Here is an 18438-nt window from a genome sequence, read left to right on the forward strand (position 1 = left end):
TTACCCAGGCTGGAGTGCAGTGGCACGATCTTGGCTCACTGCAACCTCCACCTCCCTGGTTCAAGCAATTCCTCTGCCTCAGCCTCCCAAGTAGCTGGGATTACAGGCCCATGCCACCATGTCTGGCTAATTTTTTTTGTATTTTTAGTAGAGACAGAGTTTCACCATGTTGGCCAGACTGGTCTCGAACTCCTGACCTCAGGCAATCCACTCGCCTTAGCCTCCCAAAGTGCTGGGATTACAGGCGTGAGCCACGGCACCCATCCTACAGTAATTTTTAATAACATTCATCTTGATGCCTTTAGCCCTTCTTCTGACCTGTCAACATAATTTTAAATTGTTGATTCTTCATAACACTGGGCTAATGTTCTTTTTAGGTTATGTCAGGTTTAGATATACTTCATGTTTAGGTCTTATCCAAGGCATTTGGAAGGGTTTTGGTGTCTGGAACTTTGCAATTTAACATTTTAATTGTAATAACTTTTTTTTCACCTCAAAACAATACTTCTTTCTGGTAGAAAAATGTAAGAAGATAAAATTTTTTAAAAAAATAAAAACCTCTGTCACACCTTCATAACAGAAATGCTATCAACATTTTAACATTTTACGGAATACCATTCTGTTCTTTTCTAATTTGAGAAAAGCGTACTTAAGAACTCAGGAGTGTACGTTATATATGGCTTCAAATCTATGGATGGGGCACATAACCATGTGTTATTCTTCGATCACACAACACTAAAAGGTTGTGTAATTTTTTTTCATACGTACTTTGGTTGTTTAAAAACACTTGCATTATTTTCTTACATTTTCTACCAGAAACGAGTATTGTTTTGAAGTTAAGTTATTAAAATTAAAATATTTAAAATATTAGACTGAAAAGTTCTAGGCTGGGTGCGGTGGCTTACACCTATAATCCCACCACTACGGGAAGCCGAGGCAGGCGGATCACTTGAGGTCAGGAGTTTGAGACCAGCCTGGCCAACATGGTGAAACACCATCTCTACTAAAAATACAAAAATTAGCCAGGTGTGGTGGTGGGTGCCTGTAATCCCAGCTACTCGGGAGGCTGAGGCAGGATAATTGCTTGAACCCGGGAGGCAGAGTTTGTAGTGAGCTGAGATCACACCACTGCACTCCAGCCTGGGAGACAGAGGAAGACTCTCTCAAAAAAAAAAAAAAAAGAAAGAAAAAAAAAAATTCCCAGAAACCAGAACTCTTCCAAATGCCTTCAATAAGACAGAAAGGATACATATCTAATTTAAACATGACATAATCTAAAAACATTAACATGGTGTTATGAAGAATCAAACTCTTCAGTTGTGGCTTTGTGTTATTTACATGTCTTGCTATCATAAAACAAAGCTTGGATAAATATCTTTATCGATAAAACTCTAAATACATCAGAAATCAGAGCTTTTTACATCTTCCTGAGATATTTTCCCTATACTGTGAAGCAATGACTTCTAAAGTGGTTTTACTCAAGAAACTTTTGTTCTTCACTCATCCTTGACCATCTCATTTAGAGTTCATCACACCCTCCTCCCTATACACAGTAACTTTTTAACCCCTTTCTTTGCCTTGTTTTTCCAGAGCACTTATCACAATTTAACACATTATCTAATTCTTATTTGCTTATGATCTCTATCTCCTCCCCCGCTAAAGTGCAAGCTCCATAGGGCAGAATTTTTGTTTTCTTCACTGCTGTATTACCAGTGCCTGGAACAGTAGCTGGCACCTGGAAGTAAGTGCCCAATAAATATCTATTGAAAGGCTACAAAAAGGTCTCGTTTTTTGGTGATCTCTAAACTACTAGAGCAACTCTACCTCCCAGTTCTTTACTGACAGCTTGCAGCATTCCTTTTCTGCAATTACGATAATGTGCACTCATTTATTTCTCTATCTGGCAGAGCACACTCCTCTTTTCCTCTCTGGGTCACAGGAGGGCATGGGGCTGCATGGAAGCTTGCTTGAATGTTACCTGTGTAGTATATTATTCTAATCTTTCCAACAACCATATCGGTTGGTTTTACTCATTATACCAATGAAGACAAGGGGACTCAGGGAAGTTGAATAATTTGCTGGAGGTCACCCGGTTAGTGATAAAATGTTCCTAATAAACTGTGACACACTGCCTCCAACTAACCAGCTGAGTAACTCTGGGCAAGCTATTTAATCTCTCTGATTCTTTTTCCTCGTTTATAAAATTAAGGGGTTCCATCTGATTTCTGAACCTGACACTTTAGAATTATTTTGTGACTAGTATGACCCATGTATCTCTTAAAGGATTATTAATTGTGTTTTAACACAGGGACTTTTTCCTTTCTACTGATACCTCTACTAAACAAAGGAGGAATTTCTGCAGGGCGCTTTTATGCTTAGGACTCTAAAAAACATAGGCAGAAATAACCAGTCATATATTGCTTTCCACAGTGTCTAATTAAAGAGTTATAGTGTGAAGCTATCATAAAAAAACTGACCAAATATTACCAAAAGGATTGTGACATAAGCTGTGTTTCCAGGCATTACATACATGTACATTAAAATTTTTAGCCATTCCTTTATTCTATGAAAATAACACCCAATCATTTCTGTAACACAATGGCAATCATTGAGCACTTAATGTCTGTTCTCAATGATTTAACCTCCCCAACAATGCTGTGAGGTATGTAATATTATTATTCCCCTTTTACAGATAAAAGAAATCAAGTACAGAGAGTTTTAAGGACATTGTCCAAAGTTGTACAAGGTAAGTAGCAGAATCAGGATTTGGACCCAAACTGTGTAATTTCAAAGCACACTCAGATGCAACGCAGTATGACCCAGGGCCTAGAGATTGTGTGTTGGGATAGTATGTATCTCACATTGGAGTATATTCATTCTATGACATAAGAGAAAAACTTATGGCATGTTTTGAAACCCACTTATATAAAATGAGATTGTAATAGAATACATATGTATCATAAAATAGAATAAAATTCTATGTAATTGAATAGACTTCTACAATGGCCATTTTTCTCTTAGACTGTTCCTTTCTTTTTTACACTTAATTCTAATTGTTTTAACAGTTTTTCCTACATAAATATATGAAATGCATTCTCTTTTTTCATTATATCCAAGCTATATAAATATGTAAGTCATAGTTACCAAATCATTGTCTTAAGGACTCTGTAATAATATATTTAACTTTTTACTTTAATAAACACGTTATTTTTTGGTGACTCATAACATAAATGTGCCAGTCTATAAACTATAGGAAAAGTGTCATTCTGCAGTATTTGAATTAGCTGCTTTTGCTGATAATTAGCCTTTCTCAGGGTTATGTCAATTCTCAATTGCTGCACGCCTATAATTTGTGATTCCATTCCTGTTTTTGGCATATCGATTGTCTGTTTTTGATGCATAAATTCGGAATGACCAAATTTAATTAACATTCTTTGAGTTAATTTCCCTCTTTGTGTCCTTGGTGAAGACCAGTAATGGTTGGTCAAAGAAAATTTAGGAAGTTATTGTTACCCATGCTCATCTAAGAATGAAAGCTATCTAGAGAAAACAAAAGCAAGAAAAACAGCATATCTACATAGCATTTACGTATTTGTTAACTACTCATTCAAATTCATTCTATAAAGGAAGGAGACCTGGCTCCTGTCTTCTATGAGCTTTCAGTCTTAATCCTCAAATACTGTCTTACCTAGTGGCCTAATTATAAAAGCAACTTGGTTGTTTTTGCTTATCTGTGAGCAAATCATGGTTATGAATCATGGTTATGATTCCAGAGCTCATTCCATTTTCATTCCCTGTAAGAGAAGCCACTTATCAGCAGAAGCACCTAATTCAAATGCTGCAGAATGAAATTTTTCCTGGAGTTTATAGGCTGATTATATTAGTCTGTTCTCACACTGCTATGAATAAATACCTGAGACTGGGTAATTTGTATAGAAAAGAGCTCTAATTGACTCACAGTTCTGAATGGCTGGGGAGGCCTTAGGAAACTTACAATCATGGTGGAAGGCATCTCTTCACAGGGTGGCAGGAGAGAGAATGAGTGCTGAGTGAAGGGTGAAGCCCCTTATAAAAGCATCAGATCTTGTGATAACTCACTCACTGTTATGGGAACAGCATGGGGGAAACCACCCCCATGATTCAATTACCTGCACCTTGTCCTGCCCTTGACATGTGGGGATTACTACAATTCAAGGTGAGATTTGGGTGGGGACACAAAACCAAACCATATCACTGACAAATTTATAGATGGGTCACTAAATAGTAACTTGTGTATTAAAGTGAAAAGTTAAATATATTATTACTGCTTCCTTAAAACATGTCTACAACTATGGCTATAGATTTCTCAGTTGTTTGTTTTTTGTGGTGGAGTGCAAACTCTTGATGTAGATTTGCCATAAGTCTAGATGCATGGAATTCACACAAATTAAATGTGTTTATTATTATAAATATGCACAAATCCAAGTAGCAAAATTCTTTAAAATATCTTTCAATCAGCTGGCCATTTAATGTATTCAAGGAATTGTTATTTTGGAAATACGTATATAATATACCTGGTTGATCCTTTCTATGCCTGAATCTTGCTAAATCCCACTTTATTCATTATTATCTGACTATTTTTTCAAAGGATATTTTATTTATACACATTTATATGAGCAAAATGCATTACAAGTTGAAATTATTTTTTTAGTTGGTTTAATTACTGTCACTTGTGTTATGGAGTTTTGATATAGTTTCCACTTTGACAAGTCAAATTTGACAAAAGCAAATATTGGCACAGACTGTCGGGTCAAAAATGAACTCCTAATGTGACAACTAAAGTGAACTGCTACAAAACCTGGCTGTCAAAAACAAGTTATGGCTTTGTAATGTAAATACAGCTTTAAAAGTACAAGTTTCTCAGGCACCCATCTGTCAAAAGACAGGCTATGCTATGTCCTGAGGTGCTTTGATGAGTTTGCTCACTCTTAAGGGTAGGGGCCAGGAGAACTGGGCTCCATGCCTCAAAAAGAAGAGGGCTGATATACAGTTGACTCCAGGTTTTATTGCTTTATGTTTTCCATGTTTCTTATGGTGGTAATCTATTATTCTTATACTGATAAAAGCTCCTGTAAATGGAAATGATAGAATTCTATTCTAAAATATGACTAGAAATCATATTTTTACTATAAGAAAAAAATACTTCTTACAATTTTATTTTATTTTATTTTATTTTGAGACAGAGTCTCATTCTGTCACCCAGGATGGAGTGCAGATGCATGATCTCAGCTCACTGCAACCTCTGCCTCCCAGGTTCAAACAATTCTCCTGCCTTAGCCTCCAGAGTAGCTGGGATTACAGGCATGTGACACCATGCCTGGCTAATTTTTGTATTTTTAGTAGAGACGGGGTTTCACCATGTTGGTCAGCCTGGTCCTGAACTCCTGACCTCACAATCCGCCTGCCTCGGCCTCCCAAAGTGCTGGGATTACAGGCATGAGCCACCATGCCCGGCCACTTCTTACAAAATTTTTAAAGGAAATAACTAATTTTTTCCTGGCTCCTTTCAGGTAAAAAGATAACTTCAGCACCATCTTTGGTACGGTATTGAACGAGGTAGTGGGGATTACTGTCTGCAAAATAGATGTATGTGGCTTACCACCATGGGCTGTTTCAGGAAAGCTTTGGAAAAAGTGATTAACAAAATAGGCAGAAAGGATAAATTGCCAACATTTATGACATAGCATAGAGCATACGATATGTAATTAGGGAATCAGCTTTTATAAAACTCACATTTTAAAATCTAAGAAAATGACACTAACTACACAAGTTTCCCAATTTGCTTCTGTCAACTGAACATCTATTACGTATTAAGCACAAATGTAGATAGTTAACATATGTCCATTAACTAAATTACACAAATGCAAAAAGGATTGCCAAGGGAGAGGATAATCAGCCCAGGAGCAAGCATTCATTAAAGAGATTTCTAAGGAAGAGCAATGTTTTTGAAAATAACAGGAGCCAGGATGAATTGCATGTCACACCAGTTCTCAGTAATGTTTGGGGAGGAGTCCAGAGTTTTTCCATGAACTTTAATCCATGAAAACAAGCACATTAACTACTCTCCCGCCTTCTATTTAGGGCACCATTTTTAAAAGTTGACAACCTCCTGCAGGGATGTTCTGAAAGACAGAGACATCTTGTCGGAATTATGAATGTCCTTGGTGGATGAGGCAGAAAGAGTTGACTGTGTAGGACATTCCTGACAAGTCCTCAGGATTTGAAATGGTAACCATCTTTTTCGGCAAGTTGTTTTTTGTGTTTTTTTTGGATGAGAGGAGATATTTTAAAAGTTCAGTAGAGACTGAACTTTTAAACTCAGTTACCTATAGTTGCGTGGATAAGGGTGTGCATCCAGTTGAGCTCATAGTATGTGTTCAATACATATTTATTTCATCTAATCCTTCCCCCCATTACTGCTGATAGCTTCTGAGTTAAGGATGAATTGTTGACTCCAATGCTGTTAGAAGGGGCATGTAGCGCAACCCAGTCACACACTTCCCTTACTCTATTGTGTGCAGCCTCTCCTTTTGCTTCCACCATGAGCTATTTTCCTGCCCAAACTGAATTTATATACATATACATAGATACAGATAGCTATATAGCCACAATATATGCGCATGTGCATGTGTGTGTGTTTGTGTGTATGTATACATTTGTACTTGGCATGTGTATCTGCCATCTTCCTATCCTTCTGAAAATTGTTGCCCCGCTTTACCCCAACTGATATAGTTACTATCCATTGAGACATAAGAAGAGTAGGAAAATGTGAATGCTTACAAGTGTTATCTCCCAGGGGTGTATCTATCTGAATTTTTAATAACTGTCTTGAATGTGTAATGGGTATTACAACCTAACCTAACATAGCCAAAAATAATTCCTGCCTCTTCACGCCGGCTCATGCAGCCCACTCTCTAAACATTACCTTGTTCTTCTGGAGTTTTCCATCTTAGTAAATGGTCTCATTAACCATCCAGTTGCTTACTTAAGCTCCAAACCTAGGAATTTTCTCTCTTCTTTACTTTCTTATATCCAATCCATCACCAAGCTCTTTCGGTCTTATCCCCAAAATATTTTCCAGATCCATCCCACTTCTCCCCACTTCCACTGCTGTTATAGTCCAAGTCACCCGTGTCTTTTGCCGAAATCACTGCCGGAGCTTTATAACTGGTATCCCTGTTTTGACTTTCTTCACTTAGAATAAAATTGATTTTACAAGGCTCATAGATTGTACATCTTCTGGTTCCTGATTTTGTCTCAGCCCAATTTCCGACCACCATTCTCTTCATTCACTGGACTTTACTGACCTTTTTGTTTCTTGAACATGTGAAATCTGTTTTCTCTATCAGAGTTTAACATTTGCTGCTTCCTTTCCCTAAACTCTCTGCTCCTTGAAATTATCTCAAGCTGACTGGAGCTCGTTTCAAATATCACCTCCTTGGTGATACCCATCAATTTTCCCCTCTCTTATTCACACAATCATTTTATCAGCTTTCTGTTTTATTTCTTTATTGACACTTAGCACTACGTACAATTGTGTTGCTCATGCGTTAATTTGTTTGCTTGTTTACTGCCTCTTTTATCCTACTAGTATGTGGACTCCATGAGAGCATAGGTTTACCTGTCTTGTTCATCACATGTACCCAGCACATCAAATAATGCCTGGCACATAGAAGAGTTGAACTAAAGAAGAGAAACAATAATTGTATTAGCATACTTTCCTCAAATTTATTTATTAATTTGTTTTTTTTTTTTTTTTTTTTTTTTTTGAGACAGAGTCTTGTTCTGTCACCCAGGCTGGAATGCAGTGGCAGGATCTTGGCTCACTGCAACCTCCACTTCCCGGTTCAAGCGATTCTCCTGCCTCAGCCTCCCAAGGAGCTGGGATTACAGGCATGCACCACCACACCCAGATAATTTTTGTATTTTAGTAGGGACAGGGTTTCACCATGTTGGCCAGGCTGGTCTCAATCTGCTGACCTCGTGATCTGCCCATCTCAGCCTCCCAAGGTGCTGGGATTACAGGTGTGAGCCACCACGCCCGGCCCTTTCCTCAAATTTCTGAAGCTGAAACTAAGAAAGATAATCTATTTCATTCTCTAGAGGTTGAATCCTAGATATAAAACTCAAGAGCTATTGGTGCCTGTTTTCTGTGACTGGGCCAAAGCCATGAGAATAATGAAGCCAGCAGACCTTAAAAGCAGAGCTGAGAGCAAAAGATAGTTTTGATGATATTTAATTCTCCTTTTAGTTGTTTGAGACCCAGGTATATTCCTTCTCTTCCCATAGTATGCTTGTACAATTTATGCATGAGATATACCGACATACTTCCAATAATTCCTCTTTTTCCTTTCTTGCTTAAGTTGGTTTGAAATTGGTTTCTGAGATTTACAATTAAAGTATTCCAAACTATCCTGTCACGGCTTGTTTCTATTGCCTTTTCTGCGACTCTCTATTATGAAATGCAAAACTCTGGCCATTATACACTTCTTTCATCTCTCTGCCTATCTCTCCAGCTCTTTCTACCTCTATCTCTATCTCTACCTCCGTCTCCATCCTTGGACCTTTACACATGTGTTTTTATACGCTTGGACTATTCTTTCTGATTTTTCTTTAAAAAAAGTTCTGACAGCCCAAGCCTAGGGTTTGTACTCCTTCTATGATCTACCATAGCATCATATATTTATTCCCAGTGTAGCATGAGCGACCAGTCTTGCATCTCCCTATTTGTTTCTTTCACTGTTGTATTTTTTCTTACTTACAACAGCATTCTTGGTGTCTAATACAATGCCTGATAGATAAACAGATGGCAACTGAATAAATGGACGAATGAACAAATAGAGTTGTTTTGTTTAGGACCAAAGCAGAACTAAGAGGCAACAGAGCAGGATCTGAGTGCTAATAATGTGCTCCACATCAGACTTTTTCCTTCTGATGCTGCTCTAAAGTATGGAACTGATTTTTTTTCAGATTGAGGCTGTTTGCTTTGGGCTTAGGCAAGATTTATACCTATATTTTCCAGTACTTGTTTTTCTAAGGGCTCTTTTATTTTTTGCTCATGTTCCCCGTTTTCACTTACAGGGCCTTATTTTTTCAGAGCTATTTTCCTCTAGTATAAGATTCTGAAATTTCTACCTATTAGTGCCATTTGGTTTGTCACTTTGTCAAATATTGGCAGCATGCCAAGCTACTAGGCATCCTGTTTAAAATATTTTCTTGTGGAAAATAAAAATAAATTCATATCATCATTATCATTTTCTATTTAGTATATTCCATGGGCTATCCTTTTAAAAATCCTTTCAAAAATCAGAATTGCTATACTAATCTCTGATATTCCTATTTTGCATAGTTTTTAGTGCTTAAGGAAACAAAGAAAATATCAAAGTTTCTTCAAGTTTATTTTATATTTGAAAAAATAGCATGTCCAAATTTATGTGATGTTCAGTCACCCCCAGGGGAAGAGAATGTTTCCATTGACCATGACTGTGACCCATTATTGTACTCTTGCTCTGCAGAGTCTCAAGGAGTCTCACTCAGTGTTCTGATGGGCTTGGTGCAATGATTATTTTTCCTTTTTACACTCCATGGATCTTATCACTGCAATTACACTAAATGATTGCACTTTGCTTGTTTTTCTGGTAGTTTCTCCATTAAAGTTGTGCCATTAACAAATGAATTTGCAACATTACATGAACACTGTCAAATATTCTTCATATAAATGGATTCTTGACAGAAACACAGAAGGAGCAAAGAGGAAAACCTTACACAGGGAGGAATTTCAAAGACAACATCTCTAAATTGAAATGAGTTGTCAGATACTGATGATTTCATATAACACCCTATCATACGATAATCTGTGATGGAGAGGATGGACAGTGAGCCTGAAATATTGAACTCTTATTCTCAACGTGTTGGTGGATGACGTAAGGAGTAAAGATTCTCCCCAGAAATAAAGCAGTTATAAAGACATGGAATCTGCTTACTCCTTTTTCTTTAGTTTTGGCCTTAGAAAAAATGAGGAGTGGTGACTTTATTTGTTTTAATTTTCTCGAATATTCCTGAAGCCATGTTGGTGGTCAGATTTGGACCACTTTTTCTAGCACTCAGATTCTGAAGGCAGAGTCAATAATTTTAAAAACAGATGGAAGCCATTGAGTGTAACCAAATATCTTCATGGTTTAGAAATGAGTTCTAGAAAATCTAAGTCAAAACTAATCTCAAAAGTGATCAATGGAAGGCCTGCACTCTTTCAAAGTAGAACTAATCTATTAATGTGCAAGGCAGAGAGTATCACTGAATGGGATCAGCATTGGAGATTACAGATATTAATCAGGTGCTATTTTAATTGCGGTCTCCAATTACAAACAGGTTGTGCATCGAAACTTCATTAGGGAAACAAATATTTGTAAGAAAGAATGCTTTTGTTTTCTATCAAAAGAACATTTCAGATGGTAAGTCATTACCAAATTGCTCAGAAAAAGTTGTATAATGTATCTGAAGAATGATACCAATGAGATGTCCAAATATTAGATTCTGGTTGCAGGAGGATTTTAAGTGGGGAGAGAATAGAAGGAATGTATTTGCTCTCCCTTTCTAGTCTCAAAAGTCAAAAATAGTGTAATTTCCCATAGCTGCCCTGTAACTCCATTCTGCCTACCTCCCTGTTTCTGTGGGCAACTCTCCTCTACCCTTCAGGCATAAATACTGATACTGATACCCTGCTGTTCTGGGCACATTAAGCTTCCCCCTCATGCACTCAAAACTCTTATTTATTCAATAAAGGTACACATTAGAGAAGAAAGCATTCTGATTAAATTAATTCACAATAAGGTATGAATGATTTAAAGCAAACACGCACTTCAGACAGACAAAACTCATTGAAACTACAATTTGTCTGGAACTGTGTTAGGCTTACTAGTTCTATTATCTCACATCTCTACAAAAAACTGTTTTATGGAGAACATCGGAGCTCAAATTCTTTAAAGACTTTGCTCTAAGAATATAGTTAGTAAATTACAGAGCCATGATTTAAGATATCAAAAATATTCTCAAAATTTTTTTGAGGTACTCTTGGTGCCAATTAACTAATGCAGTTTCAGGTTCAGCCATTGGGAAAAGGGAGGTGCTGGTAAAAATGTCACACATTATGAGGAGAAATAAGTTAAAATAGGTGGTTTTGACGAGGTATCTAGTCTCCTAGACCAACTTCCTCAAGTTAAACTAGTTTTGTGTATTTTCTTTCCCACTCTATCATCCTCCATTTTCTACGTACAACCATACCTTATAATGCATTAATCTAAAAGTTTCAAATTGTTTACAGATCTAACTTATTTATTTGCTTTTTCATTCAAATTATCAGGAATTCTGGAAGGAGTATGGGTCACCCTTTCATATTTTCAAGTCTTGTTGGCTGTTGATGGGGTTTTTATTTTTCATGGATGAGGGTTTGGAAATTCTTGTAGCCAGCAGGGATAGGAAGACACTAACTGAACATTGTGATGTCTGATAGCAGTAACTCTGAGGTGTGCGTGGTAAACTGGGAGGAGGGGGGAAAGAGGAGGAGGAAGGACATTGAGAAACCTCCAGCCAAGTAGAAATTGGCTGTTTAAAAATTATTTTTTACCTGAAATTAAGCCTTTCCCTCCACTATTGTGATTATATATTGTATTTGTCTGTTTTCACACTGCTGATAAAGATGTACCCAAGACTGGGTAATTTATACAGCAAAAGAGGTTTAATGGACTCACAGTTCCACATGGCTGGGGAGACCTCACAATTGTGGTGAAAGGTGAAAGGCATGTCTTACATTGGTGGCAGGCAAGAGAGAGAATTTGTTCAGGGAAACTCCCCCTTATAAAACCAGATCTTGTGAGACTTATTCACTCTCACAAGAACAGCATGGGAAAGACCCAACCCCATGATTCAATTATCTCCCACTGGGTCCCTCCCATGACCTATGGGAATTGTGGGAGCTACAATTAAAGATGAGGTTTGGGTGGAGACACAGCCAAACCATATTATATATATTACATTAGTGTTTGGTCTCATAGGCCTGTACAGTGGCCCATGGAAAAAGTACCTGTTATCTAGCAAGAAAATATGGAAAAATCTGGAAAATTGCTACTCCAAAAAAAAAAAAAACACCTTACTCAAAACAAATTGGTCTTAGAATTGGGGAAAACCTGTACTGACCTGGATTTTCTGCTCTATAATACCTCACCAATTATATTTCATCTAATGCTAAAAATAGTTACCACATCATAAATTAGTTAAAAAGATCCAAAACACTGCCACCAATAACAAAATATCCTTCTACTTGAAGAAATTATATCTCTTGGTGGCTTTTCAATCAAAATGCAAAGCTACCCCCAAAGTAGTATGATAATATTTACTAGCCTGTCTTTGCTTTAAATGTACAATAAGACACACATTCTCACTAAAGCAAAAGTGTGTTACAATACTCTTTAGCTAAAATAACTATATTCATCAACATCAAAACACCTAAATAGCCTAGAGATAATCTCATAGAACTTATGTTTTCAAGTTTACAATTCACTTGACTCTCATTCAATTGCCAGAGGATTTATGCACAATGCGTATTGTTTTCAAGTTCTTATTTACATAATTAAGTAAAAGAGATTGTAATATCAGATGTTGACACAATTTACGATCATTTATTTATTTTTATTTTCCATGATAAGAGTCATTTGAGAGCAATTTCACATATTATCCTCCCCCTATTCCTCAAAATAGAAGCTAATACTGAATGTCATACTCCCTTTCCTCACTTGAGAACCAGAGAGCATATGAGCTCTTACAGGAATTGAGAAATACTCTCTTGCCTGAGGACATATCATTTGATACTAAGAAATGGAGCTCTCAAAATTTAATGAATGTCTCCAACACTAAACTTGTGTGAACTGAGTCATAAAATGGAAAGCAACAGTCTTTTACACACTGTGGAGATCCTCTGGCAAGAACAGGAGCAGTCCCTCTAAGAGAAGGACTATAAATATTATCTTTAGTATCTTTCAACTGAAAAGAGATGCTAGTGTATCCAGTACCACAGACTGGATTCCAGTGGTGGCTCTGCAATTTTTGGGTGAAACCTTAGACACCTCTCACTTCTTAGAGGCTCTTTCCTCATTTGTAAAACAGGATAAATCTGGATTAATAACATCCACCTCTTACCCAGAGGATTAAATGAGATCAAGTAAGAAAAAATCTTAGTTAAATGCTTGAGTATAATAGGCATTAAATAAGTGCTTGTTTTTGTCCTGGGAAGCAGAGCCTAAGATGAAGACTCTTGGTCAAGAGGTTCATGGTTAAGTACTTTTAGGAGGAGAGAGGGATGTAGGAGCGTGGGCAGAGGAAATAAGCTCATAGAGTTTTGCCTGGAAACTAGCTTCAGTTTGATTTCCTGGGGAAGCTCTGCAGCTCAAATTGCATTAGCATCAGTCCCATTTAAAGGGAGGCAGGAGTGTGCAGGAGTGTCCTCTCCAGCATGGGAGGTCTCATTTTTGGCAGAGGTCAATTCTCAAGAGAAGGTTGCAGCTTTGAGTTGCTATCATACAAAACTAGTAACATGGGAGTGGGTGGGCATTGGGTGGGGAGAGGGGATGTGCACCTGTTAGTAAGCTGGTCTTGATTTGACACCAACAGTGCCCACTAGAGTCTATCCTTGGCATTATTCAGATCCATTTGCTTCTCACTCCAAGTTCATCCGCCCAGGTGCAGCTTCTCCAGTATTTTGATTGGTCACACATTTTGGGAAAACTTAAAAGAGAAGAGGGTTACTCAGACAAACTGAAACCCTTGCTGATGCATTGTTCCTGAGGTTGTAACTCAGTAGTTTTCAATCAGGGAAGATTTTGTCCCCCAAAGGATATTTGGCAACGTCTGGAGAAATTTTTGTGTGCCATATCTGGAGGTTGCTATGGGCATTATGTCCTGCAATGCACAGAACAGCCCCCACAGCAATAATTATTCAGTGTAAAGGTCAATATTGCTGAAATTGGGAAACCCTGCAGTAACTGATATGCATCATTTCACTGCTTCTTCACCAATTCTAGATTCTCCTCCCCTCAGTGAGCACATTTGCTGGTTTAGGTGGATTGTCTGGTGGGTTGACTCATATCATCATCTCTGAGGAACATAAGCCCAGTTTAGCATGATTTATCAGCTTATGGTTTCTGTGCATACCCACTTAGTTAAAACTGGATGTGGGAGTACCAGGAGCTATTCCAGTTGATCACTTGAGTGCAAAACAGATCCTCAACCTGCCACCAAGAGGCCAAGTGGTATCCTTGAGGGACGGGATGGTTTGGAGGCTCAACCTTGGTCTCTGTTGCTGGCAGGGCAGACATTCAGCTGTGACAGTAGCTAGATTAGCCTGAGTGAGAGTTAGGACTTACTGTAGAGCCCATATTTGGTGCTATGGATTGCTGCTGAGCACATTTGACCTTATTACTTGATGGCCATCAGAGTGACTTCTGACCACATGGTAACCTGCTGTCCGATGGGCCAAAGCTCTGTTTCTATCATAGCCTAGTAGCATTTCAGGAGCTGGTTGGTTTTTTGTTTGTTCGTTTTTTCAACAGTTTATTAAGATATAACTTAGAGCCAGGCGCAGTGGCTCACGCCTGTAATCCCAGCACTTTGGGAGGCAGAGGCAGGGAGATCACGAGGTCAGGAGATCAAGACCATCCTGGCCAACATGGTGAAACCCCGTCTCTACCAAAAATATAAAAAAATCAGCTGGGCGTAGTGGCGCGTGCCTGTAATCCCAGCTACTTGGGAGGCTGAGGCACGAGAATCACTTGAATCCAGGAGGTGGAGGTTGCAGTGAGCCGAGATCGTGCCACTACACTATAGCCTGGAGACAGAGTGAGACTCTGTCTCAGAAAAAAAAAAAAAAAAGACAACTTACACAACAGAATCACTCTTTTAAAGCATACAATCCAGTGTTTTTTAGTTTATTCATAGAGTGGTACGACCATCGCAGCCATCTGATTTCAGAACATTTTCATCATCACCAAATAAAACCCCACCTGCAGTCAACTCCCATTCTTCCCAACTCCTCTAGTACCAGGAAACTGCTAGTTTACTTCCTGCCTCCATGGATTTGCCTGTTCTGGAAATTTCATATAAATGAAATAATATAATATGTGACCTTTGTGTCTGGCTTCTTTCATTTGGCATAAAGTTTTCAAGGTTCATCCATGCTGTAGCATGTATTAGTACTTCATTCCTTTTAATTTACAAATAATATTTCCTTGTATACATATACCGTATTTTACTTATCTATTCATGAGTTGCTGAACATTGGGTTGTTTACATTTTTTGGCTGTTAGGAATAATGCTGCTATAAGCATTTGTGGACAAATTGTTTGTGTGGACACCTTCAAGCCCACATATTTAGGAGTGGAGTTGCTGGGTAATATAGTAACTCTGTGTTTAATGTTTTGAGAAATGATTAAGCTGTATTGCAAAGCGGCTGCACCACTTTCTCACCAACAATACATGAAGGCTTCTATTTGTCTATATAACCACTATTCATTTTCTTTTTTATTTTAATCATCCTAGTGGATACTGTTTCTGTTTTTTGCTTTCATTGTGGTTTTGGTTTGCTTTCCCCAATAACTAATGATGTCGAGCATCTATTCATGAGCTTATTGATCATTTGTTTATCTTCTTTAGAAAAGTAACTATTCAAATTATTGGCCTATTTTTAAAATGAGTTGTCTTTTTATTTGTAAGTGGTTAAAGACTTTTTTCTCTCATTGAATTGCCTTGGCAGAATTGTTAAAATCAATTGACCATAACTGTGAGGGTTTCTGGGATGTCAATTCTATTCTATTGAGCTACATGTTTATCTTTACGCGAGTACAATGCTGTTTTGGTTACAGTAGGTTGGTAGTGAGTTTTTAAATCAGGAAATGTGAGTCTTCTGATTGTGTTCATCTTTTTCAAGATTGTTTTGGTGATTTTGGATGCCTTTCATATTCACATGAATTTTAGTGCTGGTTTTTAAATTTCTGCAGAACGGCATCTGGGAGTTTGAGACTGTATTGACCCTGTAGATCAATGCAGAGAGTACTACCATTTTAACATCATTATCTTCCAGTCTATGAACATAGTGTGTCTTTCCATTTATTAAGTCTTCTCTACATTTTTCAAGAGTATTTTGTATTTATTAGTGTACATATCTTGCACTTCTTTTGTTAAATTTGTTCCTAATAATTTTATTGTTTTTGATGTCGTTGTAAATGGAATTGTCTCATTAATTTCATTTTGGGATTGTTCATTGCTGTTTCATAAAACTTCATTTGAGTTTTGTATTTTGATCTTACATTAATATCTTGCAACGTTGCTGAACTGGTTTATTAGTTCTAATAGGTTGTGTGTGTGTTTGTGTATTCCTTAGAATTTTCCATATTGAAAATTATGTCTTCTTTAGATAGAAATATTTTTACTCTTTCTTTTCCAGTCTGGATGTCTTTTATTTCTCTTTCTTTCCTCATTGTGTTGAGTAAAACCTCTAGTACAATGTTGAATAGAAGTGGAAGAAGTGGATAACTTGTTTTGTTCCTAATTTTAAGGGGAAAGCATTCAGTCTTTCACTATTAAATATGATGTTAATTATGGATTTTTCATGGGAACTGTTTAGCATCTAGAAGCAGTTTCTTTCAATTCCCAATTTATTGAGGGGTTTTAATAATAAAAGTGTGGATTTGACAAATGTCCTTTCTGTATCTATTGAGATGATCATATGGTTTTTGTCCTTCCTTTATTCTATTGATATAGTATATTGCATTGAATTTCAGATGTTTAAATAACCTTGGATTCCTGGCGTAAATCACACTTTGTCATGGTGCATAATCCTGTTTATATGTACCTGGATTTGATTTATAACTATTTTGTTAAGGATATTTGATCTTTATTCTTAAGGAACATTGTCTGTAATTTTCTCTACTCGTGATGTTTTTGCTAGTTTTGGCCTCAGTATAAAACTGGTCTCATAGAATACATTGAGAAATGTTCCTTCCTCTTTCATTTTCTGGAAGAATCTCAGACAAATTGTTAATTATTCTTTAAGTGTGTTTTAGAATTCACCAGTGAAGCCATCTGAACTTGGGATTTTCTTTGTAGGAAGTCAATGAATATTTTGTATTTTACCATGAGTCAGTTTTGGTAGTTTATGTTTTTCTACAATTCTTTCCTTTTGTCTAGGTTATCTAATTTGTTGGCAAACACTTTTTTGTAGTATTTCTTTATAATTCTTTTCATTTCTACAGGGTGGATATTGCTATGTTTTCCTTCATTCCTGGTTTAGGTGATTTGAATCTTTTCTCTTTTTTTGTGAGCTGTCTAAATAAATGCTTAGTAATTTTTCTGATCTTTCCAAAGAACCAAATTTTTACTGGTTAATTTTCTCTATTGTTTTTCATTTTTATTTCATTTATATCCACTATATTTTTTCTGCTTGCTTTGGATTTTTTTTCTTTAGCCTTTTATTTTAGGTTCAGGGGTATACGTGAAGGTTTGTTATATAGGTAAACTCATGTCATGGGGGTTTGTTGTACAGATTATTTCATCTTCTAGGCATTAAGACTAGTACTCATGAGTTATTTTTCCTGATCCTCTCCCTCCTCCCACCCTCCACCCTCAAGTAGACCCCAATGTCTGTTGTTTCCCTCTTTGTGTTCATGAGGTCTCACCATGTAGCTCCCACTTACAAGTGAGAATGTGTGGTATTTGGCTTTCTGTTCCTGTGTTAGTTTGCTAAGGATAACAGCCTCTGGCTCCATCCATGTTCCTGCAAATGACATGATATCTTTCTTTTTTATGGCTGCACAGTATTCCATGGTGCATATGTACCATATTTTCTTTATCCAGTCTACTATCGATGGGCATTTAGGTTGATTCCATGTCTTTGCTATTGTGAGTAGTGCTGCGGTGAACATAGGTGTGCATGTGTGTTTATGTTCCTTCCCCAACTTGAAGGCAGCAGAGGACAGAACTTTAGTAGTGGCTGTGACCAAGGGTGTTTTGCTTGTTTCCTGGGGGCTCCACCCCTGAGAGATGCAGGTCAGCAATTGCTCAGTGCAATCAGCCCAGAATGGAAAGGGTGTGCCGTGGGCCCAAGCTGGGGGTTCCCTGTCTGGTAATGAGTAGGGGATGTGGGTGGGATCCATGGGAGATGGACTGGCCTCCTCTCCTTGGATTGACTGCAGCTTGTTGGAGGTGTCAATAAGGCACTGAGGGTCTTTGCTCCTTCATTAGTCTGAGGATAGCAAGGGCAGTCCCACTGCAGAGGCAGTGGCAGAAAGGCTTTCAGTTGTCCCTGTCCAGGGTTGCAGAGCTACTACTGGCTGAATAGCTCTGGCAGGGGTGGCT

The 18438-nt window shown here is 37.6% G+C and overlaps 1 long non-coding RNA gene across 1 annotated transcript in view; it reads left to right on the forward strand.

Annotated features, from left to right (window-relative positions):
- LINC01908 (long intergenic non-protein coding RNA 1908) overlaps nt 1–18438 on the forward strand; it is a 50682-nt gene that overhangs the window by 16861 nt on the left and 15383 nt on the right. Inside the window, exons 5-6 of the long non-coding RNA XR_002958212.2 lie at nt 2693–2746; nt 6121–6267. This is a non-coding gene — a long non-coding RNA (long intergenic non-protein coding RNA 1908). The remainder of the gene's footprint in view (nt 1–2692; nt 2747–6120; nt 6268–18438) is intronic.

The sequence above is a fragment of the Homo sapiens genome, chromosome 18 (assembly GCF_000001405.40).
Source record: "Homo sapiens chromosome 18, GRCh38.p14 Primary Assembly".
NCBI classification, from domain to species: Eukaryota; Metazoa; Chordata; class Mammalia; order Primates; family Hominidae; genus Homo; species Homo sapiens.